Source organism: Homo sapiens, chromosome 9, assembly GCF_000001405.40.
Source record: "Homo sapiens chromosome 9, GRCh38.p14 Primary Assembly".
NCBI classification, from domain to species: Eukaryota; Metazoa; Chordata; class Mammalia; order Primates; family Hominidae; genus Homo; species Homo sapiens.
The window spans coordinates 104,972,624-104,997,054 of record NC_000009.12 but is presented as its reverse complement, the minus strand read 5'-3'; the positions used below and the strand labels follow the sequence as shown (position 1 = coordinate 104,997,054).

Sequence of the window (24,431 nt, the reverse complement as noted above, 5' to 3'; positions counted from 1 at the left end):
AGATTGTGTCACTGCACTCCAGCCTGGGTGACAGAGTGACACTCGGTCTCAAAAAAAAAAAAAAAAAAAAAAAGGCCAGGTACAGTGGCTCACACCTGTAATCCCAGCACTTTGGGAGGTCGAGGAAGGCAGATCATGAGGTCAGGAGTTCGAGATCAGCCTGGCCAATATGGTGAAACCCCGTCTCTACTAAAAATCCAAAAAAAAAAAAAAAAAAAAAAAAGAAAAAGTTAGCAGGGTGTAGTGGCACGTGCCTTTAATCCCAGCTACTTGGGAGACTGAGGCAGAAGAATCACTTGAACCCGAGAGGCAGAGATTGCAGTGAGCTGAGATCACGCCACTGCACTACAGCCTGGATGACAGAGTGAGACTCCTTAAAAAAAAACAAACAAACAAACAAAAAAAACAAAGTACAATTATTTTGACTATAGTCACTGTTGTGCTATCAAATACTAGGTCTTTTTCATTCTTTCTATTCTTTTTGTACTGAACCCTGAACTCTTAAACCCTCACATCATTCTATCCTTACAAATTCTATATTTGTTTGAGGCCCACTCTGAATGTTAAGGGGGTAGCATCTAACGAAGGCTCAATAAATTCTGGCTGCTGGGAATTCAGACTGGACCCAAGCAAGACAGAGACACAGTGAGACAGCAGATTTCTCACTGAATTAAGCTGTTCTGGGATGCTCCTTCCTCCTGCAGCCACTGTAGTCAAGGGACACATTCATATCTCAGAAAGGAAGAGGCAGACAGGCCCAAAGCTCAGATGCAAGGCCCAAGACATATTTGCTGAGTTTCTACACTACTCCCAGGCAGTAAAACTTTCTGCTCTCCCATTCTTGATGCTGCCTGGAAACCCCCTAGCCCAGAATCCCTCTTACATCTCAAATGTATAGCTCTCCATTCCCTTTTCCTGGAGAGGCTAGGCTTCGTGACTGATGAGAAAACACTCCCCATATTCTCTTCAAATTAAATTAAATTAATAGCATTTGGTACTTATCAACCCCTTTCTCCCACCCTCGCCTCTTTTTTACATATCATGTTATTAAATTCCCTTGCTATCCTTAAATTACTCATTTTATATATGCACTCATTTTATTTATTGATTGTTTTTTTGTGGTGGGGGTACTGAGTCTCACTCTTGTCGCCCAGGCAGGAGTGCAATGGCACAATCTCTGCTCACTGCTACCTCCGCCTCCCGGGTTCAAGCGATTCTCCTGCCTCAGCCTCCCAAGTAGCTAGGATTACAGGTGCCTACTACCATGCCCAGCTTATATATATATATATATATATATATATATATATATACACACACACACACACACACACACACATATATACATATATACAGACATATATACACACATATATACATATATACAAACATATATATGCATATATATACACACATATATATACACACACATATATATATGTCGTTTATTTTTTTGAGACGGAGTCTCAGTCTGTCTCCTAGGCTGGTGTGATCTCAGCTCACTGCAACCTCCACCTCCCGGGTTCAAGTGATTCTCCTGTCTCAGCCTCTTGAGTAGCTGGGACTACAGGCACGTGCCACCACACCTGGCTAATTTTTTGTATTTTTAGTAGAGATGGGGTTTCACCATATTGGCCAAGCTGGTCTCGAACTCCCAACCTTGTGATCCACCTGCCTTGGCCTCCCAAAGTGCTGGGATTACAGGCCTGAGCCACCGTGCCCAGCCCTAATTTTTATATTTTAGTAAAGATGGGGTTTCACCATGTTGGCCAGGCTGTTCTCAAACTCCTGACCTCAGGTGATCCACCCGCCTCGGCCTCCCAAAGTGCTGGGATTACAGGCATGAGCCACTGTGCCTGGCACACTCATTTTATATATGGGGAAAATGAGGATTGCTAAGATTAAGTGATGTGTTGAAATATACACCTTAACAAGGGCAGGGACTCAAACGTCGGAACTTACGTTTTCCTCACCTAGGAAGCAAAGACCATATCTTATGCACTAACCTACTTAGTGCTTCATAAAGAGCAGTAGCTCTTTTTGAATGGAATGAAAGCCTTTCCTAATGATAAAAGCCAGCAGCACAAATCACATACGAGACACCCAGAGAAGCAACTCAACAGGGAGGGGACATGGACCAGATGGACCAGGGCTTTGCTGCATCCACTTTCTGTATTTTTACTGATAACCTACTAGGGTCAGTAAATCTCTCACCAATAATTTAAAAATAAGAACTTCAGGCTGGGCACCGTGGCTCACACCTGTAATCCCAGCACTTTGGGAGGCCGAGGTGGGAGGAACACGAGGTCTGGAGTTCAAGACCAGCTTGACCAACGTGGTGAAACCCCATCTCTACTAAAAAAATACAAAAATTATCTGGGTGTAGTGGCGCACACTTGTAATCCCAACTACTCAGGAGACTAAGGCAGGAGAATTGCTTAAACCTGGGAGGCGGAGGTTGCAGTGAGCCAAGATCGTGCCACTGCCCTCCAGCCTGGGCGACAGAGCGAGACTCCATCTCAAAAAAAAAAAAAAAAAGAACTTCAAATTTCAACAGGACCATAAACTTTATCTGTGAGCTTAAGGTAGGGAAATTGCTATCCTAAAATATTTGCATCTCACACTGAAATTCTTCCCTTCCATATACTTTGATATTCTTATTCCTTTATTCAACCATTTGGGAAATAGTGATTGAGTGTTTACTATGTGTCAGGCACAATTCCAGGCACTTTATCGACCGTCATTCTCTGCCTTCATTCATTCATTCCTCTATAAAGTCACTCATTATTTAACTGTGTGTAAGGCCTGGAATTTTCCTTGTTCTACATTTTTATTGAAATTTCTCTGGGATAATTAGGGAAGAAAGGAAGAAACCTAGGGACAATTTTCCCAGCCAGCTGCAAGAACCTGTCCTATTGGGGTGTTGGGTTTAAATGCCTAGAGCAGGAAAGGAGCTGAGTCTCAGCCATGCGTTTTACTGGTTGGGTGATGTGGGGAAATCACTTACCTCCTCAGAGCCTCAGTTTCATACTCTCCAAAACGGGGGTCACACACTTACTGCATAGGGCTGTGGAGGATCATATGGGAGGGAATTCAACTACAAGTGTCAGCACAGGGCCCGGCATGGCCAAAGCTCTCAACCCTCCACGCGGTGCTGATGTAAGTTACCAAGCAGCCTTCTTCCTGCCAACACCAGCAGGCAGGCAGCTCACACAGGCATCTTGACAGCATCAGGCAGCACATGATCTCCCCTGGTCACCTCAGGAAGGCTTCAAGGCAGGGTTACATTCGGGCAAAGCGAGCCCAATTGCAGCCTTTGTCTTTATCAGCCTGAGCAGCAACACAGTCTTGGGGGACAGGGCAGTGACATTCCAATTCTCTGACGGCACACTCAAGGGAGGGGATTCTTGGAAAGAAATGAGGGTAGCGGGGGCAGACCCACTTTGCTGCAGCTTTTTCTGCTTCCCTTGCATTTCCCTTTTGGGGAATTTCCATTTGCATCTCCCTCTGTTTCCAAAGCCTCCTAGGAGAGGAGGAGAGCTGCTTCTGTTTTCTGGCCTTTGTGATTCTGAAGAGCAGCTGAGGCACCAAGGGGTTGGTGGGGTGGGAGGAGTTATGACTGCGTTCCGGTGCCCCTCCCTGGGTGATCTACTTCTTGTGTCACAGGAAACCCTGACAGGGTAGGGGGATTACATGGCTTCTACCATGCATGGAGATGGGCAAACATCCAGACATCTAGGATTGTTATGAGTGAATTTTTGTGCTCCCTTCCACCCAGTTCATAGGTTGAATGCCTAACCTCCAGTATGATGATTAGGAGGTGGGTCCTTTGGGAGGTAATTTGGTTTAGATGAGGTCATAAGGGTGGAGACCCCACGATGGGATTCATGCCTTATAAGAAGAGACTCTAGAGAGAAGTCTCTAAGAGCGTACAGTGATAAGATGGCTGTTTGCAAGCCAGAAAGTGGGGCCTCAACAGGAATCAAATCAGCCTGCACCTTGATTTTGTTCTTCCAGCATCCAGAATTATGAGAAATAAATGTCTGTTGTTTAAGTACCCAGCACGAGAAGACTAAGACAAATACTCAGAGCAGAATTTTCAAGAGAAGCAAAGCATTCCTGTCCTTTGAAGTTCCCATCTGTTTCCCAGCTATATAAACACCGCAGAGTGCATGATAAGTATGTTTGCTGCGTGAATGCAAGAACCCTCCTCTGGGAAAAGTCACAAACAAGCTACTTCACCCATTGCCTGACACAAAGGCAGCTTCCCCCTTGAATAATCTGGGATTGAAAATGAGTTCATTCAGCTATAAGCTCACCGAACGAACACCAAATTCAGCAACTGTGAGCAGTGCACTCTGTCCCTGCCCTTAATAAGTGAACAACCCAACTGTCTTCTAGAAGGGTTGATCACTTTGTAATTTTGTAATGGAAACCCTCAAAGGAGACCTCCAATAATGAGAACTTCTTTGTCTTTAGCATGGCCTGGGCCACTCACCCCATAGAGCATGAAGCTCTCATAGGTCTTCAGATTGGCGATGGGAGAACGTGACTTTGAGCTTTCAGCTTTTTATCTCTCTAAAATAGGACAGAAAATTTCAGCTCTGATATTCTCTGTGGGATTCCAGAACAACTTCCTTGAGTCTCAGTTTCCCCATCTGCAAAAAGAAAATAGTCACAGCACCTACTACCTCATAGGTTTCTGATAAGGATGGAATGAGTAATGCCTATGAGAGTGCCTTGCCAAATGTGCTACAGGTGTCGTTTGTGTGTTTTAGGGCCAAAAACCCACTTTGAAGCACGGACCCTTCATGGAAATTGCCCTTAACTGATTGGATGACCGTGGGCCAATTAAATGAACTCACAGGGCCTCAGTTTCCTCTTCCATGAGGGGTCATTTTGAGGTCTTTCAAAGGGTTGTGAGAATCAAAAGAAGGGCGCCCAGCACCACGCCCGCCGCGCACACACATGGCGTTCAGTAAGTGGTTCTCTCCCCTGCACCGCGTCTAGACCTCGTTTCTCCACAGAGAGTGGGTGGCAGGAATTTTCCAAATCGGCTCGATGTCCCCACTCCATCGCTTCATGCACTGGCCCAGGACACACCCATAGTTTGGCGAAGTGCAGACTTGGAGAAACTTGGGGGAGAACGGAACCCAAGGCCCAGCCCCGCGCACGCGCGCCGCAGCCTTCGCCCAGAGCAGCGTCTGCTAGTTACCTTTCACCTACTTCGCTGCGACTCGCCGCGCGGGGTAACTCGAGGTCAGACTCGGGGCCCCGCGCGCTTGCGCGCCGCCCGCTGCCCGCCGCCCGCCGCGGCTGGGAGTCCGGAGGTTTCATCTTGTGATGGTTTCGGTTCGGCTCTCAAATGGAGGGTGTGAGCTTTGCAGACGTGCCCTAATTCTGGGTCTGGCGGGGCGACATTGGGCCCTCTGAGCTGCCACCCTGGCCCTGACGCCCCATTACTCCTCGTTCCTTCCTCCCCCCATCTGTTGTCACGCTCTCCCTTTTCCCACAGCTGGCCCCTATTCAGCTGTGCCGATTGCCCCACATCCCTTCTTCCTGCAAAAGGCAGATGGGAAGGGAGCTCTGTCTGGCCTATTCCGGACAGAGCTCCGGGCTTCCGAGTGGAGCATGAGCCCGCGGAAGAGCCACGTGGGTGCAAACTAAATGTTCCCATTCTTGCTGGGGAGGGGCCGGACTTAAAGACCAGGTTTCAAATGAGAAGGCGCACATTTTCTGGTTTTTGTCTTCCAGATGGCTACGTTGAAGACAGCTGGGGCTGCCGCACGCCTCGGGGTTACTGTCGGGCACCCGGCGGGCGGGGCCGGCGCTGGGGCGGGGGAGGGCTTCCTCGCCCTCAGAAACCACATTCGCAGAAACGTTTTTAACTGGCAAGGTTTCGAGTTCCCAACCACAGCACCCTCAGTGATGGTTTTCAGAAGACCTTGTTAGCTCCTCTCCTCCAGAGACCCATCCTTCGCTGACATCCCACCGATTTGGGAGCAGGAAAAAACAGACTCCTGCAAAATACCTCTTCTTCCAGTGCCCTGTACCCCTCTCTACTTACTTCGAGTCCCTGCAGTCCAGCAACAACCCCAAACGAGTGAAGGGAGGAGACATAGGTTTGTCCAGGCTCTGCCACCGACGGGTGATTTGGGATGAGTCCTTCTCCAGTATCATTATCTTCAACTGTAAAACATGAGGGTTAGTCCGAATGATCTCCAAACGCTTCAGCATTAAAGTTAGGTGATGAATCCTAAGATTTTGCAGTTCTATAATGTCACATCTCCTCCGTTTCAGAGAGGGCCCGCAGGGAATCTTGTTAAGGATAACTGCCATCGAAGTTACAAGTTTGTTCTGTGATTGAAGAGTTTCAGGTCTTCTAGATTTCTTTGGCATGACGCATAACTATTTCAAGATACTAACATTTGGGCAGGGCGTGGTGGCTCAGGCCTGTAGTCCTAACACTTTGGGGGGCCGAGGCGGGCAGATCACCTGAGGGTAGGAGTTAGAGACCAGTCTGGCCAACATGGTGAAACCCCGTCTCTACTAAAAATACAAAAATTAGCCGGGCGTGGCGGTACATGCCTGTAATCCCAGCTACTCAGGAGGCTAAGGCAGAAGAATCGCTTGAATCCAGGAGGCGGAGGTTGCAGTGAGCTGAGATCACGCCACTGCACCCCAGCCTGGGCAACAGAGGGAGACTCCTTCTGAAAAAAAAAAAAAAAAAAAGATACTAACATTTAAGGTTAAGAATGTAGGTCATTTCCCCAGAGGACTAACAGACTCGAGGGCACACACCCCAAATTTTATTTCTTTGACTCTGTCATTGCCCCCAGAACAGTATATAATGTAGCCAATTGTTGTGGATTTATTGTTAATGAATAAAATAAAATTTGTGACTAGCAGGGATAGGGGTCCTATGCTGTCATTTTAATATGAATAGAGTTTTTAAAAACTCACAGATAAATGTATCACATGAGAAAAAAATACAAAGGCTGAACATAGAGCAGCAATGTTAATCTGATAAATCGTAAATAAGTGTATACATTTTAATAGAGATTAGTACAAAGACCTGTAATTAGTTTTTAAAAAAACTACCAACATCATTACAAGGACAATGGAAATAATGTACCAATAAATATGGAGCTTCCTTATATTTCTACCTTATGTAATCCTCACGATGATGCTGTGAGTTAAGTCAATACACAATTATGGTTTCCATTTTACAGAGGAAGAAACTGCAGCTTAGAGAAGTTGAGCATCTTTCTCAAGGTCATGCAGCTAGCATGTGATAGAACTGAATCCAGCCAGGCGTGGTGGCTCATGCCTGTAATCCCAGCACTTTGGGAGGCTGAGGCGGGCAGATTGCCTGAAGTCAGGAGTTCGAGACCAGCCTGGCTAACATGGTGAAACCCCATCTCTACTAAAAATACAAAAAAATTTAGCCAGGCGTGATGGCACATGCCTGTAGTCCCAGCTATTTGGGAGGCTGAGGCAGGAGAATCACTTGAACCCACGAAGTGGAGGTTGCAGTGAGCTGAGATTGCACCACCGCATTCCTGCCTGGGTGACAGAGCAAGATTCTGTCTCAAAACAAACAAACAAACAAACAAACAGAAAAACTGAATCCAGGGTTCCTAAGGCCAGATTTTCTGCTTTAGGAGAGTGCGTTTCAGTAATGGGTTTGTGTGTGTATGTGTTGGGAGTGGGGGAAGATGGGGAAGTGGAGAGATCAAATTTGTTTGGAAGTGGGAGAAGAGATGGACATTTGTAAGTATTACTATTACATCTAATGTTTGTTGAACTTTACAATGTTCCAGATACTGGGTTAGCATTATGCATGCATTAATTCATTTAATTCTTCTAACAGTTTTATGAGATAAATAGTATTGTTGTCTCTTTTAGTGCAATCAACAATACCCTTGATTAAATAAGAGAGCTGAGTTGCCTAAATTCTCATAAGAAGTGGTGAAGCAAGGATCCACCCTGGGATTGATGCCGGAACTTAAGGGGGACCTTTGTTTTAGGGGTTTCCACTGGCTGAAAGCCAGGAAAGAATCAGCAATGCAATTTGGGTTCAAGGAGCCAAAGGCACCTCAGATTTCATAACTAGAAATCCAGAGTAAAGAATATAGTGGGTGGTTTTGCTCTCCTGTGTTCTGGTCAGATCCCACCTGGAAGGCTGGGCTCAGGTCTGGGCATGGTGTACGAAGACATCTACATTAAGATGGCAGCCAGGAGAAACAGCTTGGGGTTGTCCAAGATGCAATTGGCTCCCTCAGGGAGGAGTTGCATTTGTTTCCTCTAATCTCTGTCATCACCTTGGGATATTTCAGATTCATAAGGCCAAGCATAACATATGAGGCAGTGTGGTGTAATGAAAGCAGTGAGGGATTTGGTGTCAGACTGACGTGGTCCCATGGTCTTGACTCTGTTCACCCCTTCCCAACTAGATGACCTTGAGTGTACTCTTTAATTTCTCTGGTTCTCAGTGTTCCTAGTTATAAAATTGGGGGGAATCAGACCTACCTTGCAGTATTGCTGTGAGAACTAATTGAGATAATGTGTGTTTAATAACCGCCCTTGGCCGGGTGCAGTGGCTCATGCCTGTAATGCCAACACTTTGGGAGGTGGAGGCGGGCGGATTATTTGAGGTCAGGAGTTCAAGACCAACTTGGCCAACACAGCAAAACCCCGTTTCTACTAAAAATACAAAAATTAGCCTGGCATAGTGGCTCATGCCTGTAATCCCAGCCACTCAGGAGGCTGAGGCACGAGGCTCGCTTGAACCCAGGAGGTGGAGGTTGCAGTGAGCCAAGATCGTGTGCCACTTCACTCCAGCCTGGGCAACAGAATGAGACTCTATCTCCAAGAAAAAAAAAAATCCTCTTCTCTTTTCCATCTACATACAAACACAAATGAGAATGAGTTTAATTTCTGGCCAATAATTTAAAGAAGTCCTTAAAAAGATAATTTTTTAATCTTTAGCAAGGTTTTTGAGTGACAGACGTAGTGGTCTTTAAAAGTTTAGCCAGGTTTTTCTTTTTTCTTTCTTTTTTTTTGGAGACAAGGTCTTGCTCTGTTGCCCAGGCTGTTGCTCAGTGTTGCAATCATGACTCACTGCAACCTCAACCACCTGGGCTCAAGTAATCCTCCTGTCTCAGCCTTCTGAGTAGCTGGGACCACAGGTGCATGCCACTGCACCTAATTTTTTAATTTTTGTAGAGATAGGGTCTCAATACATTGCTCAGGCTGGTCTTGACCTCCTGACCTCAAATGATTCTCCCACCTCAGCCTCCCAAAGTGTTGGGATTACAGGTGTAAGCCACTGCACCCAGCTGGCCAGATTTTTAAACAGCTGGTTAGAGAGAACTTAATGGATTTTTCTGCATTATGGAACAAGAATTTGGAGTCTGGGGCAATCTGGAGTGAAGGCGTAAGGAGGAAAGATAGTAGGGGCTATGGTCTGAATGCATGTGTTTCCCCAAAATTAACATGTTTCAACTTAATCTCCAATGCAATAGTATTAAGACGTGGTCTTTGGGAAGTGTTTAGGTCATGGGGAGAGATCCCTTATGAATGGGATTAGTGCCCTTATAAAAAGGACTAAGGGAGCTTATTTGTCCCTTCCACCTTGTTAGGATACAGTGAGAAGGTACCATCTATGAATCAGAAAGTGGGCCCTCATCTGAACATGACCATGCTGGCACCACGATCTTGGACTTCTCAGCCCCCAGAACTGTGAGCAACAAATTTCTATTGTTTATAAATTACCCAGCATAAGATATTTTGGTATGGCAGCCTGAATGGACTGAGACACTAGGAAAAAGGAAGAGAGAGAAAGATTAAGGAATTCAGCAGGAGGCCAGATCTTAAAATGTGGACCTGGTCCAAGGCCTTAAAGAATAGAGATGACTGATACTGAATTTAAAATTGATTGGGTTCTGGGAGGCGGAGATTGTGGTGAGCCGAGATCTCACCATTGCATTCCAGCCTGGGCAACAAGAGCGAAACTCCATCTCAAAAAATATATATAAATAAATAAAATAAAATTGACGGTTTTTTTGTAATGTAAAACCTCCTTTTTTCCAAACTTTAATAAATGTCACTACATACGTGAACGCCTCTATAAGTTTCCTGTGAGTATTAATTTGAGTTAAACATCTGTGAGATACAATGTGGACTACAGCAAAACAATCCCTTACGAGAATAATTCTGAAGAAGCTGGTGTTGGGAGCCTGAGCTAATCAAGAAATATAAGGAACCCTTTGGAATTCAAAGAAGGCTTGGGAAGATTATTTGGTTTACCATAATCCATAGAAAAGGAGGTCTTAACCACTTATTTCCATCTGAGGGGTCAGGATAACTCCAGCTGGCATCTGAATTTCAGATGTAAAGAACCTAGCATAGAGTAGGCACTTCAAAAAGTGGAATTTAAACAATTTAATTGATTGAATCCTTATGGAGTTTTTTTTATGCCAGAACAATTCTAAGCACTTTACATATACAACACTTTTAATCCTCATTATAACTCTATATGTAATATTATTACCCCACTTGAAAAATGCATACACTGAGTCACAGAGAACGTACCACAGTTAGCAAGTGGTGATACCAAAGTTCAAATACAGGCACATGTATATTCTAACTAATAACTATTGTGGTCTCTGCAACTATAGCTGGCGTTACTCTGCACTGCCAAGCTGATGCAAGACTCCCTGTCCTCTGGGTGTAGGCACAATTTTAAGCTTATTGACCACCGACTGTGGAAGAGGTTCCAACAGGCCAGGAAGTTATCAGGAGGGGAGGAAGTGGAGAAGTAGCTTCAAGCCTGGAGGCTTTCTGCCCATGGAGCATGTCCAGTGTGGCCAAGGAAGACATTGTCTTCCCTGGCTGTTTGTTCTCTAAGCTAGAAATTATCTTAAGGAGATAGTAATGTGCAAAAAGTGATTGCTTTCCTGGCTGAGATGTCCTGAGGGGGATGGAAGTAAACAGACTTTGAAGGGATGGGATACTTAGGATGGCTGGAAGGCAGCCCAGGAGCTCTAAGGGGATACAAGAGAGGGCACTGCAAGGGGACAGTGATGTCACCAGGACACCGCGTCCCCCAAAGCCAAGGGAAGCAGTAGCTTAGTGGCTCATAGGACTGTGCCACCCTTTTCCACTCCTAGCACTCACCCTCCAGGCAACCTCAGGTGGCCTCTTCAGGCCTTTGAGAGATGCCAAGGATCATGGAATTGGCTTGGAGGGAAAAACATTATGGAAATCTAGGAGATGCTTGGCAGAGATGCCCCCCGCCCCTCCCCCCACCAAAAAAAAAAAAAAAAAAAAAAGAAAGCTGTTTGTGGGAACTGTGGCCATAGATTGCCATTTGTTGGAAGACCCAAAGAAAGCTAGTATAGTAAAACAGACCCAAGTTTGGAGACTGTTGTTAATTAATTTCTGTAAGCCTCACTTATCTCAAGTATAAAATGAGGATAATGACACCTACCTCACAGGGCTATTTATAAGATAAAATCAGAGAATGCAGGTGAGGATGCTTTGAAACTATAAATACACCACAGAAATGTTATTTGCATTGCTGAGAGAAACAGTGTTTGGAACATTGTTCATAATCAATCAACTCAATTTCCAGCTACATTTTGGTAGTCAAAATCCAGTCCCACCCCCAAATAGAAATCAGTGTCCCCTCATCAAAACTGAAAAGAAAAACACTTCGATTTGTGATTGGTTTGCATCAGCTTATTCCCAACAGATATTCCATAATTTTTTACACTGGATCTTTCCCCTCTGCTGCTAGCTACAAAGAGAGATTAGATGAGCCATCTGGCTGATAGGGAAAGTGCTTTCTCATCTTTTAAAGTATCTTCCTCATCCATCAAAGGGCTCAGCGTGATTGGATGCTTCTCTCATTTGCTCCCTCTTTTCTTCCTCTGGCAAGTCTCTGTGCCTTTCAAATTGTAAATAATTTCCCAGACACAGATTACCTTCTCTTGGGCCCTCCTGCACCCACCCCATCAACTGTCCCTTAGCTACTGATGCATTTTTCCTCTCACATTCTGGCACCCCCAAGCTTCCAAATAAAGATATTTAATAGCTATTCCTGCTCTGTAACAAGAAATCAATATACTAAAGGAAAATATAGATTTGGGGATGGAACAAAAAGGTTCTAGGAAGCAGAACATCTGTCGCCTTCATAAATTGTTCCAAAGCTTCTCATAAATGAGACAGTAAGTTCAGAGTTTCCCCTTTGATCTCTTTCACTTCATAGACATTAAAGGTAAAGGGCTATGACTCTTTGTTTTGTACTCATTTGCTAGATTCAGTTACCAAATACGTTTATGAGAAATATAGGAATTAAAAAACCTACAACTGGGAAACATCAGTCATGAATGCAGTGTCATTAAGAGGCAAGTTAATTATAATCAGAGTGTAAAAACAGTGGGCCTGAGGAAGAGAGATTATCCTTTTTAAAGTTGATATAAATGAAGTCTACAAACTGATAAACACTCAAAGCAGTCAATGTAGGTTATTTTATTCTCAAACCTGCTGCGGCTTGGACTTTTACCAAGTCCACTCTTCCATCCATAACCAGGATTTAATAATAGCTGTAATTATTAAATATTTATTCTGAGCATTGGGCTAGCATCTTATGTACTTTATCTCTTTCAATCTTCATAATAATATCTCGTGAAGTGGCAGCCTTGAAGATGAGGAAGTGGAGGCGATGGGCTGTTAGCCACTTTGCCCAAACTCCCCATTCTGATAAGCAGCAGGGCTGGCATGTGAACTCAACTTGTCTAACTCCAAAGTTCAGGCTCCGAAGTATTATTTAGAGTTCCTTCCCTCATTTCTGACATCGTATCTTCATTCAAATTTCCCCTCCATTTTTGGTTTCTGTACTTCTCATTCTAATAAATTACTTTTATAAATATTGCTTTATTGAACAAAGCCAATAGTTGTAATTATAAGAAAAACAACAATATCAGTTATCATTGGAGGGTTTACTGAATGTCTGTCCCTGAGCTGGACCCTCACAAACACAGTTAAATTCAGGTTTGAGGAATCCTGTACTCACATCTATTCTTCATTATCATCAATGTGTCAAGAAATAAGGGAAGAAAAATGAGAGAAAAACAAAACAACACTGGACTGAGAATCAAAAGTCCTGGAATTCTTTACTTGCAAAATTAACAGCCACTTTCTGTTTACTTTACAAAGTAATTGTGAGGCTTAAATTAGATAATGCATTTAATCATGCTTTGTAAACTAGTCAGATCTCTACAAGATGTTATAGTGAGCTATGTCAGTATTTAGTGTGTGATCTTGGCAAGCCATCATCTCTGAAGCTCGGTTTCATCACGTGAAATGGGAATCATAGATCCTACCACTCAAGGTTGTTGTGAGGATTAAGGACTGCCTGGTCCACAGGGCAGGGTAATTGGATCTGTATTTCACTGATACTCTTTTAAAGTTTGTTTTCAAGACTGCTTTCTTTCCAAGTGCTTTTCTTTCGCTTGTTCCTAATTATTTTCTGGCAATTTCTTCCACTCTCATCCCTGAGTTGAAGCACTCAGCTTTCTGGCCACCTCTGCATTTGTTACAGGATGGAAAGTCTTGACTGTGAGTTGTCTAGGTTCTTGGCACATTGAACAAAGAATTGAACAAAATGCACAAAGCAACAAAAGAATGAAGCAATGAGAGAAGACAGAAACAATGAAAGTGCAGATTTATTGAAGTGAAAGTTCATACTCCACAGAGTGGGAGCAGGCTCCAGCAAGCGGCTCTAGAGCCCCAACTACAATGTTCTTCTACTTGAGATGGAGTCTCACTCTGTCATCCAGGATGGAGTGCAGTGGTGTGATCTCAGCTCACTGCAACATCCGCCTCCCAGTTTAAGTGATTCTCCTGCCTCAGCCTCTCGAGTAGCTGGGATCACAGGTGTGCACCACCACACCAGGCTAATTTCTGTTTTTTTATTGTTGTTGTTGTTGGTAGAGATGGGGTTTCACCATGTTGGCCAGGCTGGTCTCCAACTCCTGGCCTCAAGTGATCCGCCCACCTCAGCCTCCCAAGGAGCTGGGATTACAGGCATGAGCCACCAAGCACGGCAGGGTTGCCATGTTCTTTAGAGTTTTTATTAAACTAAAAGAATTTGGTAACACCCCTAGGTACCCTTTAGAGGCCTCCAACTGGTTACACCCTATGAAGACCTGGCCTGTGGCCAATCAGAGGCTGAAGTGGAGACTTGGCCTGTGGTCAATCCGAGGCTAAAGTGGAAACTTCTATCTTGTTATCGCAAGAGTGAGGATGTGGCCTGTATGCTGCCTAATCTTGCCTAGAACTGGCTGCACCTGCTGTTCTTTTGCCATTTGTAACATAACAAATATCTTAACCCTTGGTTACCCTAACTCCCTATTTTCCTGTCTCACATTCACTTCCTTAAGGAGCCAACTGGCACACAGAAGCCCAACCATCACTTTACCTACAAGACTCCCACGTCTCTAGTCTGTGCTACCAATCTCCCCAGTTTCTAACTTTTCTCTTTTCTGAGATCTTCTAGCCCCATACTTGGGATCTTGTTAAAATCCAGCTTCTGATTTAGCAGGGCTGGGGTTGAGCCTGATTTTGCAGTTCTAGCCAGCTTCCAGGTGATGTCCATGCTGCTGGCCAATGAATTACACTTGAGAAGCGAGCATCTAGCTTAACTGCTACACCAGAAATCACCTGACCAGCATCTCTCAGATCCTGTAATCTTCACAGCCTTTTACTGGATCTTTTCAAAGAGACTGTCATAGGCTCTTAACCGTCTGGACTTGTGTGACAGAAGCCACTAACCTTCTCCTGATTCTGTCTCTTTCTCAATGGTGATAAAGCCTCCTCTACCCCCATTTTTAGGTAGGCACTTGGCCATCCGGAATAAAACACAAAGTGTCCTCGTCTTCCGTCCAGCTAGGAATGGCCATGTGACTACACTCTAGATATAAGCAGAAAGAGTTTGTGATACTTTTGGAAAGTTTCCTTAAAGGGAGGGAATAGGCCATTTTTCTCTCCTTTTCTTCCTTCCTGTTGGTTGCAATGGGGTCATGGTGACTGAAGCTCAACAGTCATCTAAGGCCAAGAGGCGGGTGAGGCAAGCAGAGCAGTAGTGTGGAGCACACCTGGCTTCTCCAGACTTCTTTCACACGAGAGGGAAATACGAGGCTTTTCCACTTAAACCGCTGATATTTGGGGTTCTCCATGTCTCACAGTTTAATCCTAACTAATAGATGCTGCTCACTAATGAACTCCCCTCCATGTCTCTGTCCAGCAGAGCCAGCTCAAGCGTTCCACCCTAGCCTCTGAGGGGTATGACATTTCAGCACTCCCCCAGCCTCTACCTGAGTTCTTCCCTCAGCCCCAGGTTTTATCATTTTCTACGAAACTCTTTTCTCCTCCCAATCCCTGCCTCAATTGTCCTCTAGGAATCACCTGGTAGTTTTGTTTGAAATACAGACTAGAGTTTCTCTGGTCCTAGGCCTAGCAGGGGTCCAGCAATCTGCATTTATCTGGAGTGATTTTGATGCAGGTGGTTTGTGGACCAAATATTGAGAAACACTGCCCAAAGCTTTTTTTTTTTCTTTTTGGCTAATTTATAAAATTAGGAACTGTTTCAATCATACAGAAAAAAAAACAGAGTAGCATAACAAATACCTTAGTACCTACCACCTAGCTTTGTCAAATTTTACTTATTTTAAGTGTTGTAAGCTATGCCACACTACATGAATTAACAAAAATGTATCTATTGTTCTGTTGATGGACATTTGGTTTTTTTTTTTTTAAACCAAACTTTGGCTATTAAAGATAATGCTGGAATTAACATTCTTGAATGTAGCTCCTTGTGCACACTTGGGAACATTTAAAATATACTCCACCTGCAGCTTATGCTTGCATCACAATTATACAAGGCACTTTATATACGTTATTCGACTTTGAAATCTATTTTTTTTTTTTGAGACAGAGTCGTGCTCTGTCACCCAGGCTCAAGTGCAGTGGCGCGATCTTGGCTCACTGCAACCTCTGCCTCCTCGGTTCAAGTGATTCTTCTGCCTCAGCCTCCCAAGTAGCTGGGATTACAGGCATGTGCCACCCTGCCCAACTAATTTTGTATTTTTATCGACTTTGAAATTTTATAACAACCTTGAGAGAGGACACAGGAAAAGCCTTATGATCCTTATTTTCCAGGACAGTAAACAGCAGCTGAAAAACGTGAAGCGTATTTCTCAAATCAACCTGCAAGAAAATAGAAGAAGCAGAACCTGAAGCCAGGATTGTGGGGTCTGGGTCCTTTGCTTCTAGCCCAGCTCTTCTTCCTCTAATTGGTCTAATCACCAATCCACATGTTCTTTCTTGCACCAATGCATTCATGTGTCTTTATCTTCACATTTCAAACAACTAGTATGGTAGACATTGCTGGTTGCCTACCTAATATTTATTTGTCCTTTCTTCATTGTTAGCAGAGCTTTAGTTTTGTTTGGGATGGCAATATGCCTAGTTTTTATTTTTTAAAAAAGAAACATTACTCCCCATTTCCCACAGTGCTGGGCAGGAGTGGGAGTGGGGTGGAAGACTCTGTGACTCAGGTTTGCCACTGAAGCTACGAGAAAGTCTGCTGGGAAGTCACCAGAAAGTCTTGTTTTTCTGATGTCTGTGTTGTCGTCCCCTTCCTTCTTAGCGTGTTTCTGCTTCTTTTTGTCTGAAACAAGGATGAGAGGCTGGAGGTAGAGCCTCCACCTTGAATCATGAAACTGAGGCCACATGTGGAGTGGCCTGTCAAAGCAAATCAACAGGGTGTATCGGTTTGTTAGGGCTGCTGTAATAAAATACCACAGACTGAGTGGCATAAACGACTCACAGTTCATGGAAGTCCAAGATTGAGGTGTGGGGAAGTTTGGGCAGCCAAATACAATCCCTAACTGATACAAATAATTTCACTTCATTCATTTGTGTTTGCTCCTCTCTTTCTTTGAGTCCTTTATGGACTGGGGCCGTCTCTTGAGTTAGATCAGGTTCTTGGACTATGCTGGTCTGTATGTAGGTAATGATAGGTAAGTGTTTTGGGCTAATTAACTAAAATTTCATCTTTAAGCTGGCAAATTCCAGGCAATTTGCGGCCCTCCCAAATCCATTAAGTTGAATGATTCTGATTCTCTCCCACAAGATCATCTAATTTTTACTTTAATCTGACTTTCAAAAAGTTTCTCTGGCTAAGAATGCAAGTGAGTTATCATATGTGAAATAATGATTTAAACATTGCCTTCATAAACTTAGACCTTTGTGTGTGTAAGTTTTAAGTAGTAACATAAGCCGTAACATTGAAAGTAAGATCCAATAAAATAATCATTTATTTCTTTGAAAATTAGGGTTCATTTCTAAGGCTGGAAATTCAAATGATACAGAAAGAGGTTTTGACAGTTCTGCTGAAATGTATCTAGAGAAACTTCTGTTTTGAATAAAGTGAATTATTGTTCATCGATATTTCACTTGAACCCTGTCAGCATCCTCTTGATAACTGCATACTTCTTTTTATGCTTGTCTTCAGGAATGCTGAGCTAACTCACAGTAGGGCTTTGTTGAAATACTAATAATATGATTGGCATGCATTTTGTAAATATAAAGTACTAACCAGATGCACAAAACAATAATATGGCACTATCTAGGCAAAAACATGCTGTCTGATGCAACCCTGGAAGAGGCATTAAAGTATTATAAAAATAGTCATCTAGCTATGTTCAATGTACAGTCAAAGTTAAAATTCTAAATGTGTGTTTTGGCGATACCATGAAATAAATTATATTTTATTTTTTATTTTTATTTTATTTTTTTGAGATGGAGCCTTGCTCTGTCACCCAGGCTAAAATGCAGTGGCGCGATCTCGGCTCACTGCAACCTCCGCCTCCCAGATTCAAGCGATTCTCCTGCCTCAGCCTCCCGAGTGGCTGGGATTACAGGCGCCCGCCACTGGGCCTAGGTAATTTTTGTATTTTCAGTAGAGATGGGGTCTCATCATCTTGGCTAGGCTGGTCTCGAACTCCTGACCTCGTGAACCACCTGCCTCAGCCTCCCAAAGTGCTGGGATTACAGGCGTGAGCCACCACGCCTGGCCAACTATTTTATTTTTTAATTTTAAATTGTTACTGTCTAGTAGTGTATAGTCTTGCCTGTAATTTAAACAATAATTCACTTAGGAGTATGAAGTTCATACTTAATAGTACAGTCATTCATACAGAATCAACTATACTATGATAAATAAATAGTTAAAAATTAGTATTAACGGTTTATAGATGGGCTGTTATTTATGAAAACAAATGTTAAAACTATTAAAATGGAAATTAGAGCCTGATCTCTCTTCAAACAAAAAATTCTTTGCTTTTCCAGCAACACAGAGTTGTTTTTTGTTTTGTTTTGTTTTGGTTTGGTTTTTTTGTTTTTTTGAGACAGGGTCTCACTCTGTCATCCAGGCTGGAGTGCAGTGGCACAATCACAGCTCACTACAGCTTTGACCCGCCACGCTCAAGTGCACTTCCTTCCTCAGCCTCTCAAGTAACTGGCACTATAGGTGTGCACCACCATGCCTGGCTAACTTTCAAAAAATGCTTAGTAGACATCAGGTCTAGCTATGTTGCCCAGGCTGTTCTCAAATGCCTGAGTTCAAACAATCCTCCCCTGCCTTGGCCTCCCAAAGTGCTGAGAATACATTGCACCTGGCCCAGTTCATTCATTAATTCAACAAATATTTAGATGACTATTATATGCCAGGCATGAGGAAAGGGACTAAAGAGAGTTGTAAGGATTAAATGGGACAACATACATGAAAACATCCTGTATGCTCTTGGTTGCTGCTAAGGAGAATCAATAACAGAAGGGCCTCAGAGACATAGAGAGGCAGTCTAGAATAAAGATGGAAATAATGCAATAGTCTATTCTGATAAGGGCTTTGAAATGGAAAGTGAGAATTTGGGGACTGATTTCTGTAACAGTGGGCAAATTACTGCAGTGCCTTAGGAAGGTAAGCAAGGCCAGAGAAAAATGGAACTGTAATGGGATGGAGGATTTGGGATAATGGATCAAAGAAGATGAACTTCTACCATGAAGAGTTTGAGAACATGCTTGTCCAGTGATCACCAGACCTGATAAAGAGGACTTTAACTGACCATGAAATGGGAGGGGAAAGATGCCTAGATAAACCTGTTAAACCTGTTACCATGGAGTAGGTATAGTTCAGAGAGAGGAAAAATGGTATAGGAGTTACCTAGTGAGTCACATGAAAAAAGAAGTGGCATAGGACTTGGAAACAATACTTTGAGCTTCATAAATCCATATGCCAATGGGTGGTACCTAGGTAATAAACAATGTGCACTAGAAATTATAACAGAGGGCAGTAAATGGAATTTTTTAAAGCCTGTTGAGCCATGGTTGTATGGGAATCAACCTGCCGCCAGTTCCTATTGCATCAGATAAGAGGGCGTCTATGATACTGAATGTGAATTACCTACCATGGTGCCTAGCACAGAGTGGTTATTATTTGAAATAGAAAAAAAAAAATAGCTATAAAGCCCTCGCAAATTCCTTATCCTCCCATCGCCCTTGCTCCTATCCCAGTACATACACCACAATCTATTCAATTTTGCAAGCCTAGAAACCCAACACTCTCCTGTGTTTATGAAGAGGAGCAAATGCCAAGTCTTGTTGCTTCTACCTCATAAACTATTTTGGCATCGCCCCATTTTTCTGCCTTCCTACTATTACCACTGTATTATAATACCATCATTTCTGGGGGGCCATTGTTTTAAAACAAAATCGATTTGTGTCACTTTCTGCATAAGACCCATCGCTATTTCCTATCACTCTGGGTAAAAACAAAGACAACACTTGGACATAGCCTGTAGCACCCAATTGTTCTGGCTGCCGCTTGGCTCTCCAGCCTCATCTCTCTGTCATTTTCTGCTCAACTTTGATCCTAAAATATGTCAGGCTCCTTCTCGCCTTACGTCTTTGCATGTGCTATTGCATTTGCCTAAAACACTTTCCCCTGCCATCTTTGCCTAGTTAATTCCTATTTATCTTTCAGATCCCAGTTTACCTGCTGATTTTCTTTGGCAAAGCCTCTCCTGACCACCTATACTAAGGCAGTAATCCTATCATACACCTTTGAGCATCTTTTGCTTTCCCTCATCATAGTTTATAACTAGTTTTTTTGTGAAATTATCTTTTTTTTTTTTTTTTTTGAGAAGGAGTCTCGTTCTGTTGCCCAGGCTGGAGTGCAGTGGCACGATCTTGGCTCACTGCAAGCTCCGCCTCCTGGGTTCATGCCATTCTCCTGCCTCAGCCTCCCAAGTAGCGGGGACTACAGGTGCCTGCTACCAAGCCCAGCTAATTTCTTTGTATTTTTAGTAGAGACAGGGTTTCACCGTGTTCTCTAGGATGGTCTCCATCTCCTGACCTCGTGATCTGCCCACCTCGGCCTTCCAAAGTGTTGGGATTACAGGCGTGAGCCACGTGAAATTGTCTTTTAATGGCTCTCTCTCCTCCAGACTATAAACAACATTATGGGCAGGGATCATGTTTGTTTTGCTCACTGATGTAGCCCTAAAATCTAGCAAAATGCCAGGCAAATGACGAGATTCTCACTGTACGTTCATTAAATAAATAGAGCACCTGTAATCTGTATCTGATTGAAAGATTATATTGTTTACAAAACTACTGCAATACTAGATGTTGCTAGTGGAGGAGGCTGTGCATGTGTAGGGCCAGGGAGCATATTGGAACTCACTGTACTTTCTGCTCAATTTTGCTGTGAACCTAAAACTTCCCTAAAAATGTCTTTTTTTTTTTTTTTTGAGGTGGAGTTTCACTCTTGTTTCCCAGGCTGGAGTGCAGTGACGTAATCTCGGCCCAATGCAACCTCCGCCTCCCAGGTTCAAATGATTCTCCTGCCTCAGCCTCCTGAGTAGCTGGGATTACAGGTGGGTGCCACCAAGCCTGGATAATTTTTGTATTTTTTTAGTAGAGATGGGGTTTCACCATGTTGGCCAGGCTGGTCTTGACCTCAGCTGATCTGCCCGCTTCAGCCTCCCAAAGTGCTGGGATTACAGGCATGAGCCACCACTCCCAGCCCAAAACAGTCTATTAAAAATTAAAAAGAAAACTATTACGAAAAATTTATACACAATTAGGGAGCGGCCAGGCATGGTGGCTTAGGCCAATAATCCCAGCACTTTGGGAGCCCGAGGCGGTGGATCACCAGAGGTCAGGAGTTCAAGACCAGCCTGGCCAACATGCTGAAACCCCCTCTCTACTGAAAATACAAAGATTAGCTAGGCGTGGTCACGATCGCCTGTAATCCCAGCTGCTTGGGAGGCTGAGGCAGGAGAATCACTTGAACCCAGGAGGCAGAGGTTGCAGTGATCGGAGAGCTCGCCACTGCACTCCAGCCTGGGTGATAGAGCGAGACTCCGTCTAAAAAAAGAAAAAAAAAAATTCAGAGAATAGTATAATGGATCCTCATGGACCTACTACCTTAGATCTTAATATAATTTGAGTGTTTGAGGAGACTCCTGGAATCATTTCTTTTTTAATTGAGTTCAAATTTCATGACTGATATCACGAGAATAAAATGATTTACTTACATATCCTGTGCAAGTGATAAATGATAATTCCTTTGCCTTCTGGATTTTGGATTTTTGTGTCCCTAAAGGATCCTAGCACCCTTTCCCAGCTCTCTGAGTTTGGTGGAACAGCAGGGCACGTGGCATTGACCACTTTGCTATGTTATTTGGATATCAGAGTGCACTGGTCATCTCAAAAGCATTTGAAACCGACATGAAAACCTTAATTCATTTCGATGACCACTTACCCTTACACTTCAGCACTTTTGGACAAAAGCACAGACAGCCACTGTGAGCTATAAAAAAAATAATAATGATTTGAAAACAGAACGACTAAGATTTTTACTCAAAGAAACACAGTTCCTTGAATGTTTTGGGCTGCATCCCACTCCCCAGGGTTTTTGTACTTGCTGTACCTCTGTCCAGATGATGCTCCTGTCTGGATCGACCAAACCCCCATTTACCCTTCAGATCTCAATTTGAGTGACCCTTTTCCTGGGAAGCCATGGCCTATCCTCCTCCCCGCCCCCAGCCCCCGACATAGATGACCTTCTCTGTGTTCCAGAGTTACTCTTTGCTAACGTCTGACCCACTTGTCTGTCTTCCCAGCTGTCTGTAAGGTATGTGAGAGAAGAACCACTGATCTGTGTAGTGGGGACTTATAATGTAGGAATTAAGTAACAAGATACAAACTTTGGAACTTGAAGCCTGGATTCAAATATGATCCCAGCACTTACTGGCTGTGGGGCCCTAGGCAAGTTCTTAAATCTGAGCCTCAGTTTTGTCATACCTTATGTGAAGATACTAATACCCACATCACAGAGTTGTCATGAGGTTCGTGAGACATTATGAGTATAAAGCAATTAGAAGAGTGAGTTCCTAGCTTAGAGTTAACACTCAATAAAGATAGGCAGAATAAAAGAAAAACAAAAAGGAAGGAAAGAGGAAAAAGAGGAAGGGAGTAGAGTGAATGACTGCCCAGGCAAAAAGCCAACATGAGAATTCCCCACAACTGAGAGATTCTAATCTTGAGGATTGCTCTTCTCTATTTAGCTATGGCCAGATTACAGGAACCTTAACGTTTTGAAGTTCAAAGTGTATAGTTTTCAACTACATGTTTGCACTCAAGACTTTTATGGAGAAAAACAAGTTTTTCAATTCTTTTAAAGCCACTACCCTGAAGGGGAATGCACGGGGCTACTTTCTCATTTCTCCTCAGGGGCTGATGTGATTTTCATCTTTCTGCTATGCTTTTGGACTCTGGGGCTCATCCATACTTAGATGGCCTCATGTCCTTATTTATTTGAAAATTATATTGACTGAGCACCAACGAGTACAGAGCATTACAGCTAAAACAAATATGAAATAATGTGGTCTTTTCATGGCTGGGCACGGTGGTTCATGTCTGTAATCTTAGCACTTTGGGAGGCCAAGGTGGGTGGATCACCCGAGGTTAGGTGTTCAAGACCAGCCTGGCCAACATGGTGAAACCTTGTCTCTACTAAAACTACAAAAAATTAGCTGGGTGTGGTGGCATGTGCCTTTGGTCCCAGCTACTCGGGAGGCTGAGGCAGAAGAATCACTTGAACATGGGAGGCAGAAGTTGCAGCTGAAATTGTGCCATTGCACTCCAGCCTCAGCAACAAGAGTGAAACTCTGTCTCAAATAATAATAATAATAATGATGTGGTCTTTTCAACTTTGCCTGCCTGTATCACCCAGAGTTTGGCAACATTAATTGTGCATGAAGCAAAGTGGTGTTATTAAGAGATTCAATATGTATAGCTGTTGGGACTCTCATTGCTGGAATGGTGGCTCTGAATCACAGATACTTTCATTTTTCTCAGAACAGTTCAACTTGGAGCACCCGCTATATGCCCCACGCTGTGACAGACTCTCAGGGGACACCAAGGGAAGTAAGGCCCAGCTCCCGCCTCAAAGAGCTGACCATCAACTGGCGGGGATTAGACAATGAGAGAAGTCCAAGCTAAAGAAAGTACCACAGGAGAAACACCAGGCGCTTGAGGTTTCAAAGGAGGGAAAGGATATATCAGGTTGGAGATACTAACAAAAGACTTTATTCATTCATCCATGTATATCCAATGAAAATATTTATTGGGTGCCTACTATATACCAGGCACTAAGTTAGCTATCAGGAATAAGATATAAGTAAGCCATTATTCCTAGCCTCAAAGACTTCATAAAAAAGTAGGAGGAACACACATGTAGACAAACAATAATATTCATTAATTCATTTATTCAACATTTAATGAGTATCTATTAAGTCCCAAGCTCAAGAGTGGTGAGAAGAAAGGTCTCTGTGGTAAAGGAACCCACAGTCTAGCTCAGATGATAGGTGTATAAACAGAACATTTCTATGTAAAGTAGTGTGTTCAGTGCTGTGATAGGTATGTTAAAAAAAATTGCAAAGTCTCAAGATAGAGGGTGAAGGGCAATAAACTCTTTCTGGGGTCAGAGAAAGCTTCTGTAGAGAACACAACAGAGGGAGTATTACAGGACGAAGGAGCTTTTCAGGTAATTATAGAGAGGCAGGAGGAAGAGTATCTGAGGCAGGTTGTACCAATATGGCTGGAATAAGAAGAGTAGAGATGTACCAGAGACAGAGGGTGGCCAAATGGTGCGAGGTTTTAGAGCCCTTCAGCTGAAAGAATGGAATGTCAAGGTATAATGACCACTCAGAGGAGCAGGTAAACAACTGAGTGCAGGGTGTGGATGGAATCTCAGGGAAAGGTTCCTGGTGGAGTACATATCTGAGAGTTTTAAG

The 24,431-nt window shown here is 43.4% G+C and overlaps 1 long non-coding RNA gene across 5 annotated transcripts, besides 3 other annotated features; it reads left to right on the top strand.

Moving 5' to 3' along the window:
* Positions 2,567-3,395: an enhancer, noted in NCBI's record as "NANOG-H3K27ac-H3K4me1 hESC enhancer chr9:107755941-107756769 (GRCh37/hg19 assembly coordinates)". NCBI's record gives its function as "activates a minimal SCP1, AML or CMV promoter by ChIP-STARR-seq in primed H9 embryonic stem cells {active_cell/tissue: H9 hESC(primed)}" and the evidence as "EXISTENCE:reporter gene assay evidence [ECO:0000049][PMID:30033119]".
* Positions 4,911-6,110: an enhancer, noted in NCBI's record as "MED14-independent group 3 enhancer chr9:107753226-107754425 (GRCh37/hg19 assembly coordinates)". NCBI's record gives its function as "activates an origin of replication core promoter dependent on BRD2, BRD4, P300/CBP and CDK7 cofactors, and independent of MED14, by STARR-seq in HCT116 cells {active_cell/tissue: HCT116}" and the evidence as "EXISTENCE:reporter gene assay evidence [ECO:0000049][PMID:35650434]".
* On the top strand, positions 5,260-23,734 carry CT70 (cancer/testis associated transcript 70). 5 transcript variants are annotated; one of them, NR_184160.1, is made up of 4 exons: positions 5,260-5,369; positions 5,752-6,238; positions 9,642-9,741; positions 23,499-23,734. It is a non-coding gene; the product is annotated as a cancer/testis associated transcript 70 (long non-coding RNA). The 5 variants fall into 5 exon arrangements; NR_184158.1 differs by lacking the exon at positions 23,499-23,734 and having other exon boundaries at positions 9,642-10,129; NR_184157.1 differs by lacking the exons at positions 9,642-9,741; positions 23,499-23,734 and having other exon boundaries at positions 5,752-6,257.
* Positions 5,707-5,976: a silencer, noted in NCBI's record as "silent region_20148". NCBI's record gives its function as "represses an Ori minimal core promoter by ATAC-STARR-seq in GM12878 lymphoblastoid cells {active_cell/tissue: GM12878}" and the evidence as "EXISTENCE:reporter gene assay evidence [ECO:0000049][PMID:35858748]".
* Positions 23,735-24,431: the final 697 nt, after the last annotated feature.